Source organism: Homo sapiens, chromosome 3 (genome assembly GCF_000001405.40).
Source record: "Homo sapiens chromosome 3, GRCh38.p14 Primary Assembly".
Lineage (NCBI taxonomy): Eukaryota > Metazoa > Chordata > Mammalia > Primates > Hominidae > Homo > Homo sapiens.
The window spans coordinates 29,472,100-29,488,631 of NC_000003.12; the positions used below are offsets into that span (position 1 = coordinate 29,472,100).

At 39.1% G+C, this 16,532-nt stretch overlaps 1 protein-coding gene across 12 annotated transcripts in view, besides 1 other annotated feature; it reads left to right on the forward strand.

Moving 5' to 3' along the window:
* The window catches only part of RBMS3 (RNA binding motif single stranded interacting protein 3), a 729,325-nt gene that overhangs the window by 191,029 nt on the left and 521,764 nt on the right, over positions 1 to 16,532 (forward strand). For all 12 annotated transcript variants that reach the window (XM_005265061.3, XM_017006180.2, XM_017006179.2 and 9 more), the window contains exon 3: positions 16,342 to 16,400. In XM_005265061.3, coding sequence (XP_005265118.1) covers positions 16,342 to 16,400 — 59 coding nt within the window. The remainder of the gene's footprint in view (positions 1 to 16,341; positions 16,401 to 16,532) is intronic.
* Positions 3,579 to 4,258: an enhancer, noted in NCBI's record as "OCT4-NANOG-H3K27ac hESC enhancer chr3:29517169-29517848 (GRCh37/hg19 assembly coordinates)". NCBI's record gives its function as "activates a minimal SCP1, AML or CMV promoter by ChIP-STARR-seq in naive H9 embryonic stem cells {active_cell/tissue: H9 hESC(naive)}" and the evidence as "EXISTENCE:reporter gene assay evidence [ECO:0000049][PMID:30033119]".

Sequence of the window (16,532 nt, forward strand, 5' to 3'; positions counted from 1 at the left end):
GTATTTTCACAAACTGAACACATCCAAGTAACCACCAGCCAAATCATGAAACAGAACATGCCCAGCATAGGAAAAACCCTTTATGCCTCTTCTAATTTTTTTTTTTTTTTTTTGAAATGGGGTCTCGCTCTGTCGACCAGGCTGCTGGAGTGCAATGGCGTGATCTTGGCTCACTGCAACCTCCACTTCCCCGGTTCAAGCGATTCCCGCCTCAGCTTCCTCAGTAGCTAGGATTACAGGCGCCCGCCATCACGCCCAGCTAATTTTTGTATTTTTAGTAGAGATGGCATTTTACCATGTTGATCAGACTGGTCTTGAACTCCTGACTTCAAGTGATCTGCCCACCTTGGCCTCCCACAGTGCTAGTGTGTCCGGAATTGGTGGGTTCTTGGTCTCACTGACTTCGAATGAAGCCGTGGACCCTCGCTGTGAGTGTTACAACTCTTAAGGCGGCGCGTACCTTCTGATGTTCGGATGTGTTCGGAGTTTCTTCCTTTTGGTGGGTTCGTGGTCTCACTGGCTCAGGAGTGAAGCTGCAGACCTTTGTGGTGAGTGTTACAGCTCTTAAGGCGGCGCGTCTGGAGTTGTTCGTTCCTCCCAGTGGGTTCGTGGTCTCGCTGGCTTCAGGAGTGAAGCTGCAGACCTTCGCGGTGAGTGTTACAGCTCATAAAGGCAGTGTGGACCCAAAGAGTGAGCAGCAGCAAGATTTATTGCAAAGAGCGAAAGAACAAAGCTTTCAAAGTCTGGAAGGGGTCCCAAGCGGTTGCCATGGCTGGCTGGGACAGTCTGCTTTTATTCTCTTATCTGGCCCCACCCACATCCTGCTGATTGGTAGAGCCGAGTGGTCTGTTTTGACAGGGCGCTGATTGGTGTGTTTACAATCCCTGAGCTAGACACAAAGGTTCTCCACGTCCCCATCAGAGTAGCTAGATACAGAGTGTAGATTGGTGCATTCACAAACCTTGAGCTAGGCACAGGGTGCTGATTGGTGTGTTTACAAACCTTGAGCTAGATAGAGAGTGCCGATTGGTGTATTTACAATCCCTTAGCTAGACATAAAGTTTCTCCAAGTCCCCACCAGAGTAGCTAGATACAGAGTGTCGATTGGTGCATTCACAAACCCTGAGCTAGACACAGGGTGCTGATTGGTGTGTTTACAAACCTTGAGCTAGAGACAGAGTGCTGATTGGTGTATTTACAATCCCTTAGCTAGACATAAAGGTTCTCCAAGTCCCCACCAGAGTAGCTAGATACAGAGTATCGATTGGTGCATTCACAAACCCTTAGCTAGACATAAAGGTTCTCCAAGTTCCCACTAGACTCAGGAGCCCAGCTGGCTTCACCCAGTGGATCCCGCACGGAGGCCGCAGGTGGAGCTGCCTGCCAGTCCCGCGCCGTGCGCCTGCACTCCTCAGCCCTTGGGTGGTTGATGGGACTGGGCGCCGTGGAACCAGGGGTGGCGCTCGTTGGGGAGGCTCGGGTGCACAGGAGCCCACGGAGGAGGGGAGGCTCAGGCATGGCGGGCTGCAGGTCCCGAGCCCTGCCCCTCGGGGAGGCAGCTAAGGCACGGTGAGAAATCGAGTGCAGCGCCAGTGGGCCGGCACTGCTGGGGGACCCAGTACACCCTCCGCAGCTGCTGGCCCAGGTACTAAGCCGCTCATTGCCCGGGGCCGGCAGGGCCGGCCAGCCCCTCCAAGTGTGGGGCCCACCAAGCCCACGCCCACCTGGAAGTCCAGCTGTCCCGCAAGCGCCGCGCGCAGCCCCGGTTCCCGCTCGCGCCTCTCCCTCCATACCTCTCTGCAAGCTGAGGGAGCCAGCTCTGGCCTTGGCCAGACCAGAAAGGGGCTCCCACAGTGCAGTGGTGGGCTGAAGAGCTCCTCAAGCGCCACCAAAGTGGGAGTCCAGGCAGAGGAGAGGCCGAGAGCGAGCAAGGGCTGCGAGGGCTGCCAGCACGCTGTCACCTCTCACTAGGATTACAGGCATGAACTACCGCGCCCAGCGCCTCTTCTAATTTTTCATCTCTGCCAAGGATAACCACGATCCTGACTTCTAATACATTAGTTTACATAAATGCAATTGTAGACCATACACTTTTGTTTATCTGGTGTCTTTTGCTCCGCATTGTTTGAGGATTCACCCACAATTGTTGCTTGTAGCTCCAGTTTGTTATTCTCATAGTGGTATGGTATTCCATTGTTTGAATAAACCTAATATATTTATCTGTTCTATTATTAATAAGCATTTGGGTAGTTTCCAGTTTTAGGCTGCTGATGAATATTCTTATATTTGTAAACAGTTTATGTTTAGTACAAGGGATTACTACAAGAAAAAAGAAACACAGCTTCCCTAATAATTTTATCTGATGTGGATGTAGCAGAAAAAAGATTCAAGTTTAACTTTTCTTTTAAGTTGATTGTTTACATAGGATTAACATCCTCATTTTTGCCTATTTTACAACTTATGTTGAACACCTATTTTGTGCTGTGTTTTGTGTGATGACTGGGTGACACAGACAAGGAAGGCACAATTTATGTTTTCAAGTAACTCTCAGAAATAAGTATGCGCTTACCATATAGTAGGGACAGTGCTACGAAGAGGCGTACTGGTCTAGAAGAAGCTTTTAATTCAGCTAAAAGAAAGATGGTGAGTGAAATATTTATAGAGGAGACCATTAAACTAAAATTAGACAAAGCAAGTTGTGAGTAGAGAGGCAGGAGGAAAGGAAGAAAATTCTTGGCTGTTGGAATTGCAACATAGCAGGGAACATTTTAGATACTTCCCATGATTGAATTTGGTTGTATTTAAGGGTTCACACTGGGGAGTGATGGAAATATAAAGAATAGAAAGAGAATCTGAGCTTAGTGGGGAAAAACTGATATAGTATAAATAAGATATATAAAGCATTGTGAAGGGCTAAAGAATTATTAAAACACAAGAAGCTTCTTGCATAATTCACTGAGATAATATTGCAACCCAGCTGAGCAAAGTGATACATATGGTAATGAAAGGTTTATTAAGGTTTATTATGGTATAAATAGTGTCTGTAACGGATGCTTAAGGCATAATTAAATACCAAAATTAAGAGGAATAATTAGTCAAGTACAATGCATTTGTCAGTAAGTGATTGGCTTTAATAAGTTTCTTTTCTTTTCTTTTTTTTTTTTTTGGAGACAGAGTCTTGCTCTGTCACCCAGGCTGGAGTGCAATGGCGTGATCTTGTCTCACTGCAACCTCCACCTCCCAGATTCAAGCAATTCTCCTGCTTCAGCCTCTGGAGTAGCTGGGACTACAGGTGCACACCACCAAGCCCAGCTAATTTTTTGTAGTTTTCGTAGGGATGGGGTTTTACTGTGTTGCTCAGGCTGGTCACGAACCCTTGAGCTCAGGCAATCCGTCCAGCTCAGCCTCCCAAAGTGCTGGGATTACAGGCGTGAATCACTGCGCCCAGCCAATTTCTCCTTTTCTTATTTACACCACAATTAAGAGTGGTTGGTCTTATCTTTCCTCCAGGAACATTACCAAATCATGAAACATTTACCGTATATCTACTAGACATAAATATCCTTTGCATCATAAACGTATAAAGCACGGGGTATCTCCTAAAGGATTATGGGATGTGATAGGTGCCTAAGTACAAAGATTCATAGTCATAGATATTTCAAGAAAGTATGAAAGCAGTGCTTTGGATTGTGAGAGTACAGAAATCAGGTCATATTGAGAGCATTATGTGGGGCCATGTGTTGGAAGTTAGATAAATATATTTAAGCTTATTAAAAAAAAGAGTTGATCTGGTAAAAAGATCTATAAGACAACATTACATCCTTCCTGGCATGCAGAGAGTGGCTGAATTTTTCTTGCATTTTTCCTTCAGCCCATGACCCTCCTAAATGGCACAAACAAAAAGGCATCCTAGGTGTGTTCTTTGTCATGTAAAACATCCCCCACTGACTCCCTGTGGAATGAAAGGCATGCACTCAGGGGAGTGTGCACACCTGCAGTAATGAGAAGGATTAAGGCAAACAAGTGAACCAGAAGTCACTGATACTTCACTTGAGACAGCACTACACAAACTTCACAGTCTACTCTGTTTCTTGATTATGCTTTATGGAATCTAATTATAACATAAGCCTGAAATTTCTGACCAATAGGCAATTAAAAGATTGTGCATGACCCCATGAACTATTGTTTTTGAGTATCTACTATAAGCCTATTATTGAGCTAGAAGACTTTACATACTCTTTTAGGTCTTCTCACCTACCTCACCACCAGTAAGGTAGTTATATACATTTTACATAGAATTTTTAAAGTTCTCTGGATTATACAGAATCTATAAAGCCAATAATTTTCACATAGGTAGTTGAACTACACCATCGATTTATGCGATTATGAATTATTTAGCTAAAGACTGGACAATGGGCTCCCTAGTATAGTTCCACAAGGATTGATCTTTTGGAGTGACAAATAACAGCTTTACCTAGCATGCATCTCAAAATTTAATACAAGGAGATTAACGTATTGACAAAATAGCTGTGGTCTCTTTCACTTGGGTACTTCGTCTTATACATTTTTAGAAATAAGAAAAACAGAGTTATTTTGAATTAAAGCTGGCCTTGATTTTATCTTTTCTGCTTTTTCTATGTATGTAATTTTTAAAAAAAAATAAAAATCACCTTCATGGAACTAGTTATTTCTGCATTATATGGCTTTGTGTATTTTGCCTTTTGTGGGTTCTGAATCTTTAAATGAAGCATGCATTCTTGTATTACTTAATCACAGAAATGCAATTTGAGTGTTACGAAGCTCAGAAAGATTCTACAGACATCTCAAAACTGTCATTCTTTTACAGACAAACCTCCCTGAGAAATACATCATTGAGTTATTTGTATTAGGTACTTATTCATAGTAATACTCAAAACTGCGTATCTATTAAAAAGCTTACAGCAGCTGCTACAGTACACGGAATTTCTCTTTTAGCATTTTAACTCATTTTTTTTCCTTTGAGTGTCCTTGAAGTTTTAAAAATAATACAAATTTCATAAAGTATTTTACAGTCAGTATTTTTAAACTCTGTTTTCGTTTGACCCTTGAGTGATATTATAGCTCACTCTCTTAGTGGATGAAATGAAGGAAATGTGCTCAATATAATGTATAAAAAGCAATGTATCTTTATCAGCAGAGTATGCACTTTGTCACTTTGCAAAATAGGAGGCATATCACTGTACCTGGACATACTTGACTCCCATAGCCATCCTAATCATCTTGTTTCATGTTCAAGGTGTAATATATGGTATCCACTAATCTATTCACTCATTTAATGGGCATGTATTGATCCCTGTGTGTAGGGTCAGGGATATAACAAACAAACAAACAAACAAACAAACAAAATTATGCTCTGCTCTTGAAGAACTCATCCTCATTGTTAGGATAAGAAAAGATACAATATAGTACAATACAATACAGTACTAATAAAATACAGCATTTTATCACTGATACAATTAATGATCCAATTGCCATCTCTAATAATAAAGATATGCCCAAAATCCTATTGGATCATAACCACAATTAAAATTAGCTACTTGGGGATGAGAAAAAAAAAATGAGAGATATGTCAGTTGAGTAGGGATGAGGAGAATGAGGTTAGTGATATAGATAATGTTTATTTTTTCTTTTTCTTTTTCTTTTTTGAGACAGGGTCTCACTCTGTCACCTAGGCTGGAGTGCAGTCGTGCAATCTCAGTTCACTGCAACCTCTGCCTCCTGGGCTCAAGTGATCCTCCCACCTCACCCTCCTAAGTAGCTGGGACCACAGGAATGCACCACGATGCCTGGTTAAGTTTTGTATTTTTTTCTGTAGAGATGGGATTTCACCATGTTGCCCAGGCTGGTCTGAAACTCCTGAGCTCATGCCATCCACTGACCTTGGCCTCCCAAAGTGCTGGGATTACAGGTGTGAGCCACCACACCCAGCGCAAAGACAATTTGGAGGAGGTTAGAATGAAACTAAGTGACCCATGCCAGGCTTGGGAGCTACCACCTCATTAGCAACATATAACTTCTTTGAAAACCTAATATGTGGTTTGGAACTGTGCTTGCAGATACAGTGAGAACCAATTGTCAGTCTATTTGGGCTACTATAGCAAAATGCTACAAACCTGGTGGCTTATATAATATAAAAATTTATATTTCACAGTGCTGGAGGCTGAGAAGTTCAAGATGAAGGCAGCAGCTGGTTCATTGTCTAATGAGGGCCCCATTTTCTGGTTCCTAAATGGTGCCTTCCAGCTTTGTCCTCACATGATGGAAGTGACAAGGTAGCTTGCTGGGCCCTCTTTCGTAAGGGGACTAATCACATTCTTGAGAGCTCCACCCTCATGACCTAATCACCTCCCAAAGGCCCCATCTCCTAACACCATCATATTAGTGATTGGGTTTCAACAGATGAATTTTGGGAAAATACAAACATTCATACTGTAGCACCAAGAATGTGCTATAAACAGCTGACTTCCACTCTACTGAAATGTGGCTCTGAAAATGGTTACATATGTTGCAGATTTAATGGAGTTTTCTCTTAAAACTGAGACTGTAGATGATGTCAGGATTTTCAGAATCAGATTTGATGTCTTCTCAAATAGCAGATGTAAAATCTGCTGTGAAGCTATGTTTTCCATTACGTATTCGGTTGATGTTGGATACACAGTTGTACTAGAATGTGCTACATATTGTGAAGCCATAAGCTGCTTCAAGGAACAAGTTTCTTTAGAAGGAAGTTCTAACAAGCAGTGGTAAATATGCAGCTATGTTATTTCCAAGGAATGTTGGTAATTTTTCTGCGTTTTAAAGGACTAGTCATGTCCAAAATTTGCAAACCTTACACATGTTTTTTTGTGGCATCTTGACTGGCCAGAGGACTTAATTTTATCTGAGCTTATTCACTATACATAGGGGCAGCATGAAATCAAAGAAAGAGTAAGATTTTGAAGCCAAATGTAATTGAATTTAAATATAAGCAATATAACTTAAGTGCTGCATGAACTTAGTCAAGTAACTTAATATACCTAAATTTAATTATTTCATGTTAAATAAATGAAAATAATATCAACTAATTATGTAGGCATGAGAATTTGCAATAAATATGTATACTGCTCTCTGTCACATAGCAGGTGTTCAGTTAATAGCATATGTAATGTATATGTGTATGTGTATATATATTATATATATAATATACAATGTATATATACATGTAATCCAATCATTAGTGGGTGTTTCTGATATGGAAAATGTTATCAGGTCCATAAAAATTACTGAGAAATTTAAAGATGTTCATGGAGGCTTATTATGCATCAAGCTCTATACTGATCTGGGCCTCTTTAAAATGAAGGTCTCATTGAAGAGAAAATCTCATGGGGGAATCAACAGACAACATATAAAATAATAAATATATAAATAAAGTACTGGGTGCTTTCATACAGGCTGTGAGCACAGCAGCTATTCAGATTTGAGAGAAATAATTGGTGATCAAATAAGTCAAAACATGGAATTTAGTTTTGAAGGACCTGTATTATTTAGCAAGAAAAGGGGAAATTAGACAATAGTTCCAAGATCACAAACAGATTCTTCAGGCTCAGTCAGCTTGGAAATTTTTTTATTTTTCCTTTGCATTGCTTTGTAAAATCTCTAAGCCAACCTTAAAAAATTGGGAAATATTGCCTAAAAATCAAGGTCTTTCAAAAAAATCAGAAGGCCTGGAAATGCTGAGATTATATTTGTTTATGGTAATACTGGTTGAGCTGACAAGCAGATGTCACATCAGTTGAAGCGTAAGTTCTCCAGGTCCTCATGGTCTCTATCCAGTATCCATTTCAATACCTGACTAGTTTCTGCCCTAAAAATACTTTCAGAGAAAAGAAAAAGGCGAAGATGGTGAGTTGAACTTTGTTGTGTCATTTGAGATGATCATTCAGCATACAAGGAGAAATATCTAATAACTCTAACTGGAGATTCAGGACTGAGGATTGAGGGCGAAGGCAGATCTGGAGAGGAAATTTTGAGAGTGAAACACAAAGAAATGGGAATTCAAAGCATGATAATAAAGAAGATTTGTAATACAGTTGTTCTTAAAGTGTGGTCCTGGGATCAGCTCATGCCCAGTCTCAGACAAACTGAATCAGAAACTCGGGGGTTGAGGCCCCAGATTTATAAGAAGCCACCCAGATGTTCCAATGCACATTACATTTTGAGAATTATTACTGTAGTGGATATTGTAGCACCAAAACTCAACTGGACTGAGGATTCAGCTTGTCTACACACACTTTCTGGAACATGATGGAAGAGAAGGGGTAAGTGATGGAGATAAGGGAAAAAGTACAGGCAAGAAAAAAAGAACCAGATGAAGGTAATGCATGGATCCCAGGGAAAGGATATTTCAAGAGGAAGCTATTTAGGAGGTCAAATGGTGCCAAGAAGTCAATGCTAGTAACTGAATATTTTTACCAATTAGAAAGTTACTGTTCACTTTTCAAAGTATTGTTCCAACAGAAGTCAGTGTTTAGGAATTAAGCAGAAACTGGATAATACAAAGAAAGAAGTAGCTTGAGTAGAGCAATCATTCAAGAAAAGTCTGGCAGTAAATGAAAAGAGAGACACCCTATGATAACCAGTGTATGGATGGAAAGGATTTGCACATGTTTAAGGGCAGGCAGAGGGGAAAGAGCCCTGGCATTTGGGAAAAAGCATGTACATTTCAGAGAAATATAGGTGATAGATAGGGGAACAGGTCACAGACATCACAGGGATGAATACCAATTGGGGAGAAAAGGAGAAGCAGGTCTTCTTTTGAGACAGGAGAATGGCAGGTGGCACTAGAGCTGAGAGGCAACAAGTGTTGGCAGAGCCTGGACTCTGTAGCTGGTCTGTCTGAGATTGGATCCTGCTTTTGCTACTTCCTAGTCATGTGACCCTGGGAAAGTTACTTACCCTGTGGCTAGCTCAGTGTCCTCATTTGTAAAATGTAGTTAGACATAGTGCCTCCCTCATGGGTTTGTTGCAATGACTAACATGAGTTGAAAAATGTAGAGAACTTAGAAAAAGGGCTAGTGTCTAGGAAGTGTTATAAAAGTAGGTGCCAGCTAAATGAAACACAGTGGGGTGGAGATGAGAGGCTTTGAAAGGGATACCCATGAATTCCTGAGAGACCTTTAAAACCTCCAAAATCTGAAAGCCACTTACATAAGAACTTGAGAATTGATACTACATGGTTAGGTTCTAGAAGGCAAATGGTTCTGGAGATGGGGTACTGTTCAAGATCAACTATGCATGAACAAATGAGAAGTTGATGGCAGTGAGAACCAAGAAATGGTCAAGATGTGGTCAACCAGGTATAATGGCTTTCTTGGGTGATGGCCAGGAAAGGAGACAATAGAAAACAGGGTTGAATAGAGGTACTGAAGTAGAGCGGTGGATCCTGGTGGAAAGATTAGGAGGGACAAGCATATGGGAAGGTAGTGGAGACAGCATTCAAGTGGCCTGGAGAACAGTCTGAGCAAGTAACTAGGTATTGGCAGAAGGAGACTGAGTGAGTGAAGAAGAAACTGTGAATTGACTTGGAGTACAAATTAGAAAGCATAAATGCTAAATCATGTGCTTCCTTGGGGCCTCTAGAAGCATTGAACGGGGACATACTGGCTCTATCAAATGGTCATTAGATACTAGTGTCTGAGTTATTATTTTATGCTATACAGTAAATGTATAGGTAATAAGGGAGGGTTTAATAAGAGAAAGGAATCAATTTTAACATGTCACACATTGTGCTAGGAGTTTTAATACATACTATTTTATTTCATTTTTACAGTTGCTATAGAAAACAGAACATAGTAATCATACAGATCAAGGAACAGGTGCTGAGGGGTTGAGTAATTTGCCCTAGGTCATGTGGGTGGGAGAGTTCAGATTCAAGTCTATATTAATTGATTCTAAACCTCATCCTCTTTCTATATTAGTTGGCCAAATATTAAAGAATGTTAAATATGCTGAAATGCATTGGAATCAGTTGTAGAAGGTACTCAGATGCATGTGAGGTTTCTGACTCTATTGGTATGGAAATCCCTTTCTCATAAACTTTCGCTAAGGTGACAGGTTATATATATCCCCAAATTACATAACCCAACTATATAACCTAAAGCATAACCCAAGAGTTACTAATTCTGAGAACCAGCAAATAAGTGATTTTCTTTTGATTTTAGAACTTGAAAGTATGCATTTTTGGTCTGCTATTTTTGTGCCAGATTTACATCTATTTCTAATTAAAGAACAAGGAAAGGCACAAACCAGTTACTAATCATTATCTGCTTGCCATTTTTCCTCACAAGATTTTCACTGTAATTCAGTCAAACTACTACTTAGCAACTAGTTATTTCAAGTGGCAGAAGAGATTTACATAGGCATTGCCAATGTTTTCTTTGGACTTTGTTTCTAGAAGGTATCTGAAAGCAAATTTCAAAACAGCTATACTTGAGTTGTAAGTTGTTACTATATTGGCTAAATGAGGAATATCATCAGGCAAAACTCTGAAAAAGTACACAGTCTACCATTTTCTTTCTTTCTTTCTTTTTTTTTTTTTTTTTTTTTTTTGAGACGGAGTGTCGCTCTGTCACCCAGGCTGGAGTGCAGTGGCACGATCTCGGCTCACTGCAATCTCTGCCTCCCAGGTTCAAGTGATTCTCCTGCCTCAGCCTCCTGAATAGCTGGGATTACAGGTGTGCACCACCACGCCCGGCTATTTTTTGTATTTTTAGTATAGACGACGTTTCACCACGTTGGTCAGGCTGGTCTCGAACTCCTAACCTCGTGATCTACCCACCTCGGTCTCCCAAAGTACTGGGATTACAGACGTGAGCCGCCGCCCCCAGCCTACCATTTTCAATTTAAAGTATTATATGAAGGAAAATTTATTTGAAGTTTTAAAAGTAGTTCTCCATATCGACAGAAAGTTCCCTTAGTCGAGATCGAGACCATCCTGGCTAACACGGTGAAACCCTGTCTCTACTAAAAAAAATACAAAAAAATTAGCCGGGCTTGGGGGCGGGCGCCTGTAGTCCCAGCTACTCGGGAGGCTGAGGCAGGAGAATGGCGTGAACCCTGGAGGCGGAGCTTGCAGTGAGCCGAGATCGCGTCACTGCACTCCAGCCTGGGCGACAGAGCAACTTCGTCTTAACAAAAAAAAAAAAAAAAGAAAAAAGAAAAAGAAAGAAAGTTCCCTTAGTCTCTGGAGTATTGCAAATAACAAACCACATTCTTTGCTGTTTGTGTGTTAGTCTTTTGGAGCAGTGGTTCTCAAAGCACCATCAGCAGTATCAACCTTACCTGGGATCCTGTTAGAAATGCAAACTCTCCAGGCCCACCTCTTTATCTACTGAGTCAGATTTCTGGGGGTGGAGTCTAGCAACCTGTGTTGATAAGCCTCCTAAGAGGTTCTGCTGCCCGTTAAACATGGAGAACCACTTACTTTGAGTATATCAAACTCGAAATGCTGTTTGTAGCCCTAGGTTCCTGGTGAAGCTCTTTGTAGCATGAAAATAGAAATTTGCTAAGTAGTAATACACTGACGTGAAAAAAGACTCATTTTTTTAACAATTGTTTTTCTAATCTCTAAGACATATAAAAATCATTCCTCATTGACAAAATATTGCCCCTTCTTCAAACACTTCCTCTTCTAGGAACTTTTCTCCAAATCTCCCAGCTAGATAATCTTATTTTGTGTTCTTTGTAAGGTATTAGCCCGAAATAGTATGTTAATAAAAGACGTTTTAGTTTGCACAATAGACATGTAAAGTTTACTTGGTGTGGATGCATGATCACAGTTTGATTATCTCTCCGGGGAAAGAAACACTGCCCAGATTACAAGACCAAGGACCAGGTTCTGGATTATTTGTTGTCTGCTCTTTGTAACACTGTGAGACTTCTAGGCTTCTGTTATCATACACAAATGTTAGATGAGAAAGAGCTTGAAGGTCTTAGGTAAGAGCTTGGAAGGGACAAGTGCAAAATCATTGAGCAAAGCATTTTAGAAAGGTGTCTTGTCTGATGAATCCTCTCACCTCTGTTCTTTTTGCAAAGCTCAGGAGGCCTTGGAGAGAAGATTATTGTGTTAGTTTGTTAGAACTGCCATAACAAAGTACCACAGACTGGGTGGCTTCATGAAAATATATTTTCTCACAGTTTTGAAGTGGGAAATACAAGATCAAGGTATTGGCACCATTGCTGCTTCTAAAGCCTTTCTCTTTTTCTTGTAAATGGCTGCCTTCTCTCTACGACTTCATATGGTCTTTTTGTGCCTGTCTCTGCTTATAAGGACAACAATCATATTGGATTCGGGCCTATCGTATAACCTTATTTTACCTTAATTACCTCTTTAAAGGCTCTGTCTCCAAATACAGTCACATTCTGAGGTAGTGAGGATTACAATTTTAACATATTAATTTTGAGGGGACAAAATTCAGTCCATAACAATTATGCATGACTTTGATGACCCATTTGTAGATTGAACTTGTTAAAACTTCAGAATATAAATGGGTTGTAAACTTGTAGGTGAAACGTGGCTGATGTATTCCATCAGAGAGATAGCCCTACAACATTCCAACTGGGTCCCTAAAGCTACAGATATGCTCCATTACCATCCTCAAATGCCAAAGAATGAATGAGCCATCTAGAAGTAGGCAAACAACCACATTTGCTAAAAGGCTAATGTTTCATCCATTAAATAAATGTGATACCTTTTTCTAGTCTGGTATCAATATAGAAGGCATGTGAAAAATGAGTTAGCTGAGAGTTAATTGACTGCGGAGACTCTATTTTCAGTCTCTGCCTGTATTTTTTGAATTAATATACACAGTGGGTGATTCAGCAAAAGGGTTTAAAAATAAATTCTTTATTGAAGGATCCCACCAATTTGATGTCTTCATAATTCATGAAGAGTAGACCCATAATAACTCTATTTTCTCTTCAGCTTTGAAAATAAAAGATGCCATTAGTTTAAATTAGGCTTGTATGTGGAATAATCAAGTGTATCAACAAATATAGTTTGACTCAGATGCTGTTTAAGAATAAATGCCAGAAAAGAACTGGCTATTTCTCTTAAAAAATTAAATATGAAAATTGTATTGACAAGCTAGGGTGAAAGTGTTTTAAAAAGTTGATAGACAATATATACATTTATAAAATTATGAAAACTCAAAAATGTAATAAGCAAATAGTTACTGTAGACTAGCTACTCTTTTAAAGCATACTCTTTAGAATATAAAGAAAATAGAATATAAGAAATATCATTAGAGACCTGGCTGTATTTGAATATAAAGAAAATGTCATTAGAGACCTGGCTATATTTGTAGAATACATGAGCACTCAGGATAGTTGGTGAATATGTAGGTATGGGGTTGCCAAAAAGCATCTTTGCAATGCTGTATTAGGGAGTTCCTACTTTGGCTAGAGAAGGCCCACATAGAAAGAACTATAGTGTAAAATATATTTACTTCATTTATTTATTTCCCTTGAAAAGTTCAAACCCCCAAGGAAGTAGACTGTGGATAGTATTTTATCTCCTCTAGCTGTAAGAAATGAAAGGATAGATAAGTGAATTGGATTTGTCTGAAAGCTTCTGGAGTCAGGAGGCACATGGGACTTGTGCTCAGGTGTCTATTTCCAGGCATTATTCAGCAATTTGGTCACATAATTTTCTCTAATATTAGATTTCTGCTTCCAATGGTGGGTGGCATAGTTGAAGAAAGAACTTTATGAAGACATAAGGTCTTGATCTAAACCCTAAGAAGGGAAAGAGTAAGTAAATGAGGTTATATACCTGAAGGCATACTTTTTTACTTCAGAAATTTTTATTTTCCTTCGGAGTGTATAAAATCATGTACTTTTAATCTGCAGAGTAGTTTTCATTCTAATCTACTAGTATACTTTGATAAAAGCATAATTTCATAGGTATATTACATTCGTGGGTCTCGTGTTTATGGTGGTTACGTCTTTAAAAAAAATCTAAACCTTATTTATCTACATCAGTTGTTGACTTTGCAGATCACAGAGAATACAGAGCCAGTCATGCAGAAAGTACCTGTTTGTCATCCTGAGAGTTCAGACATGAACTGTAACCAGTGGCCCATTAAGTACCTTCTCTTGTTGTTTAAAGCATATCCTAGCTTTGCAAATTAATTGTTAATGCAGAATGTTGTAACGGAGCCATGGAATGAAATTCCTGTTACTCCAGTCATAGTAGATGTTGCGTCAAGTACTCTGAGTTGTGTTCCATTGTTTTGTGATTCTGTGCTGTCGGAAAGTCTGGCCTAGAGAGTGTTTAGAAATAAGGAAATCAAGAAATAGTATGGTTTGCTTTTTTGGACTCTGTGTGTGATTTTCCATTGATAGTAATATTGTAATAATTTCTGAGAAATAAAATTCTTTTTCTTTGTTTATAAAAAAGTTACTTGTCAAAATACTCACAAATGCTTTCCATAAGAAAACATTTAACATTTTTTGCTGTAAAAGTGATTACATATACTACATTTAATGCAGTAGAGGACATTCTTGTAATATTGATACAGTAGGACAATATGCATGCCATTGACTATTGTTAACAGTCCAGTTGTGAGATGAAATCCACTATGAAACACAGTAATGTTTAATTTCATATTTAAGACAGAGCTAAATTTCAGTTTAGAAGGTTCTTATATAAAAATTTCAGGAACACCTTTATAAACCAATTAAGAAGGATTTTTGTCTTAAGGGTTTATGTGCCTGGTGTAAGATAGTTATACCTGATCTAATTTTTCTTTCTTTTTCTGATTTTTACTTCTCACATATTGTATTAATGGTGCTTGGTGTGGAAAAAAAAGATGCAGTGACATTTTCTTCTCTTATCCCTTATTTTCTACTCTAAGATACATATAATTTTGCAAATATTTATTTACCTTAATAGCTCAAACCTAGCTAACATTACAGCTAGTTAATGGGTATGATTGTAGGTACGATGAATCATTGTCTAGTAAAGAGACTGTTCAAATATGATTTTATTTTACTGGTTATTTTCCCAACAGAGAGACTCTTGGGGTGAAATAGAGCTCCAAAAAGAGTGTTTTGGGGGAGATGGGAAAGGGAGGATTGGGAGTTTTTAAAGGGAATAATCTCGTGTGGTAATAGGCATGAGGTAATAGTCATTTTGATAATATGAAACAAACAAAAAAGCTTCGAACAGGTGAGTATCTGTACAACTAGGTAGAGTGAGAACATAATGAAATCCCTAACATTTAAAACTAACGATGTAAACTGTAAATGTAATTATCTTTTAGCAAATAACTTTACATGTCAATTTTCTCAGTGGAATTTTTTGACAGTCTAAGTAGTAATGTTTGAAGCTTTGGGGACAGAATCTTTACCCCCTTCCACTTCTCATCATTCTCAGAGAATGCCGAGGGCTGGAGACATTTTTATATAGCTGATAGCAGGGAGAGCATCATTGGAAGAAGAGCTAACATTAATAATACTTACTCTGTGTCGGCCACTGTCCTCAGCACGTTAGGTAAACCCCATTTTACCTTCACAAAAAGCCTATAAAGAAGACAATATTATCCTCATCTTATATACTTACAAAAATATTTATATCATTACAAATAATTCAAATCATTATTTAAATAAATGTATTTATATTATTATAGATGATCAAATGATGCAAAAAGCACATATTACTTACTTAGCCAACCAAATATACCCAGGCTAAATTAGGATTTGAACCATGATAGTTTGGTGTCTCCGTATATTCTTTTAACTACTATATTACATTGCTCCTGGAGCCTAATATAGTGGATTCCCAAAGACATAAATGTTGATTGAACTAGGAGATTTGACATATTTAGCTTCTCATTTTTGCAGATGAAGAAACTGTGTCTTAGTGAAGTTGGGTTAAACTCTGCAGTGTTACAACACAAGGTGAGAGTCAGAGCTGGATGCAAACCCTGTTCAGTCTAGCACCAAGGTCCATGCTTTCTTCCATGAATCCACAGAGTGCGATTTACTGTGATCACAATCACATGTGATCCTCTTTTGGCTGCCTGTGACAGCCTGACAAGTTTATTTTTGAAGCTCAACCCATTGCTTACATAGGGAAGAACATTCCTAAGTTATAAAGAAGAACTGGTGAAAGGACATCATCCAGGTGTGAAATGGGAATCCAGAGCTTGTTTTCTTGGTTTATGCATGCTCAGTTGTGTGTGCCCCGATGTTCATTAGAGTGTTTTAAGTGTCTTCAATGGGTTACAATAACATGGGTTTTTTTCTCTCTCTCTCTTTCAGGTATGGAAAAATTGTATCTACAAAGGCAATTCTTGACAAAAACACAAATCAGTGCAAAGGTATGTGTAAGGGCATCCGTACCCTGAAATCTTGCCTATGCTATCTGATTAATGGTTCTTCCATTGTGGAGGTCCAGGTACCAGCTGCACAATGATCACAATGCATAGTATGGAAAACCTCTTTAATGATGC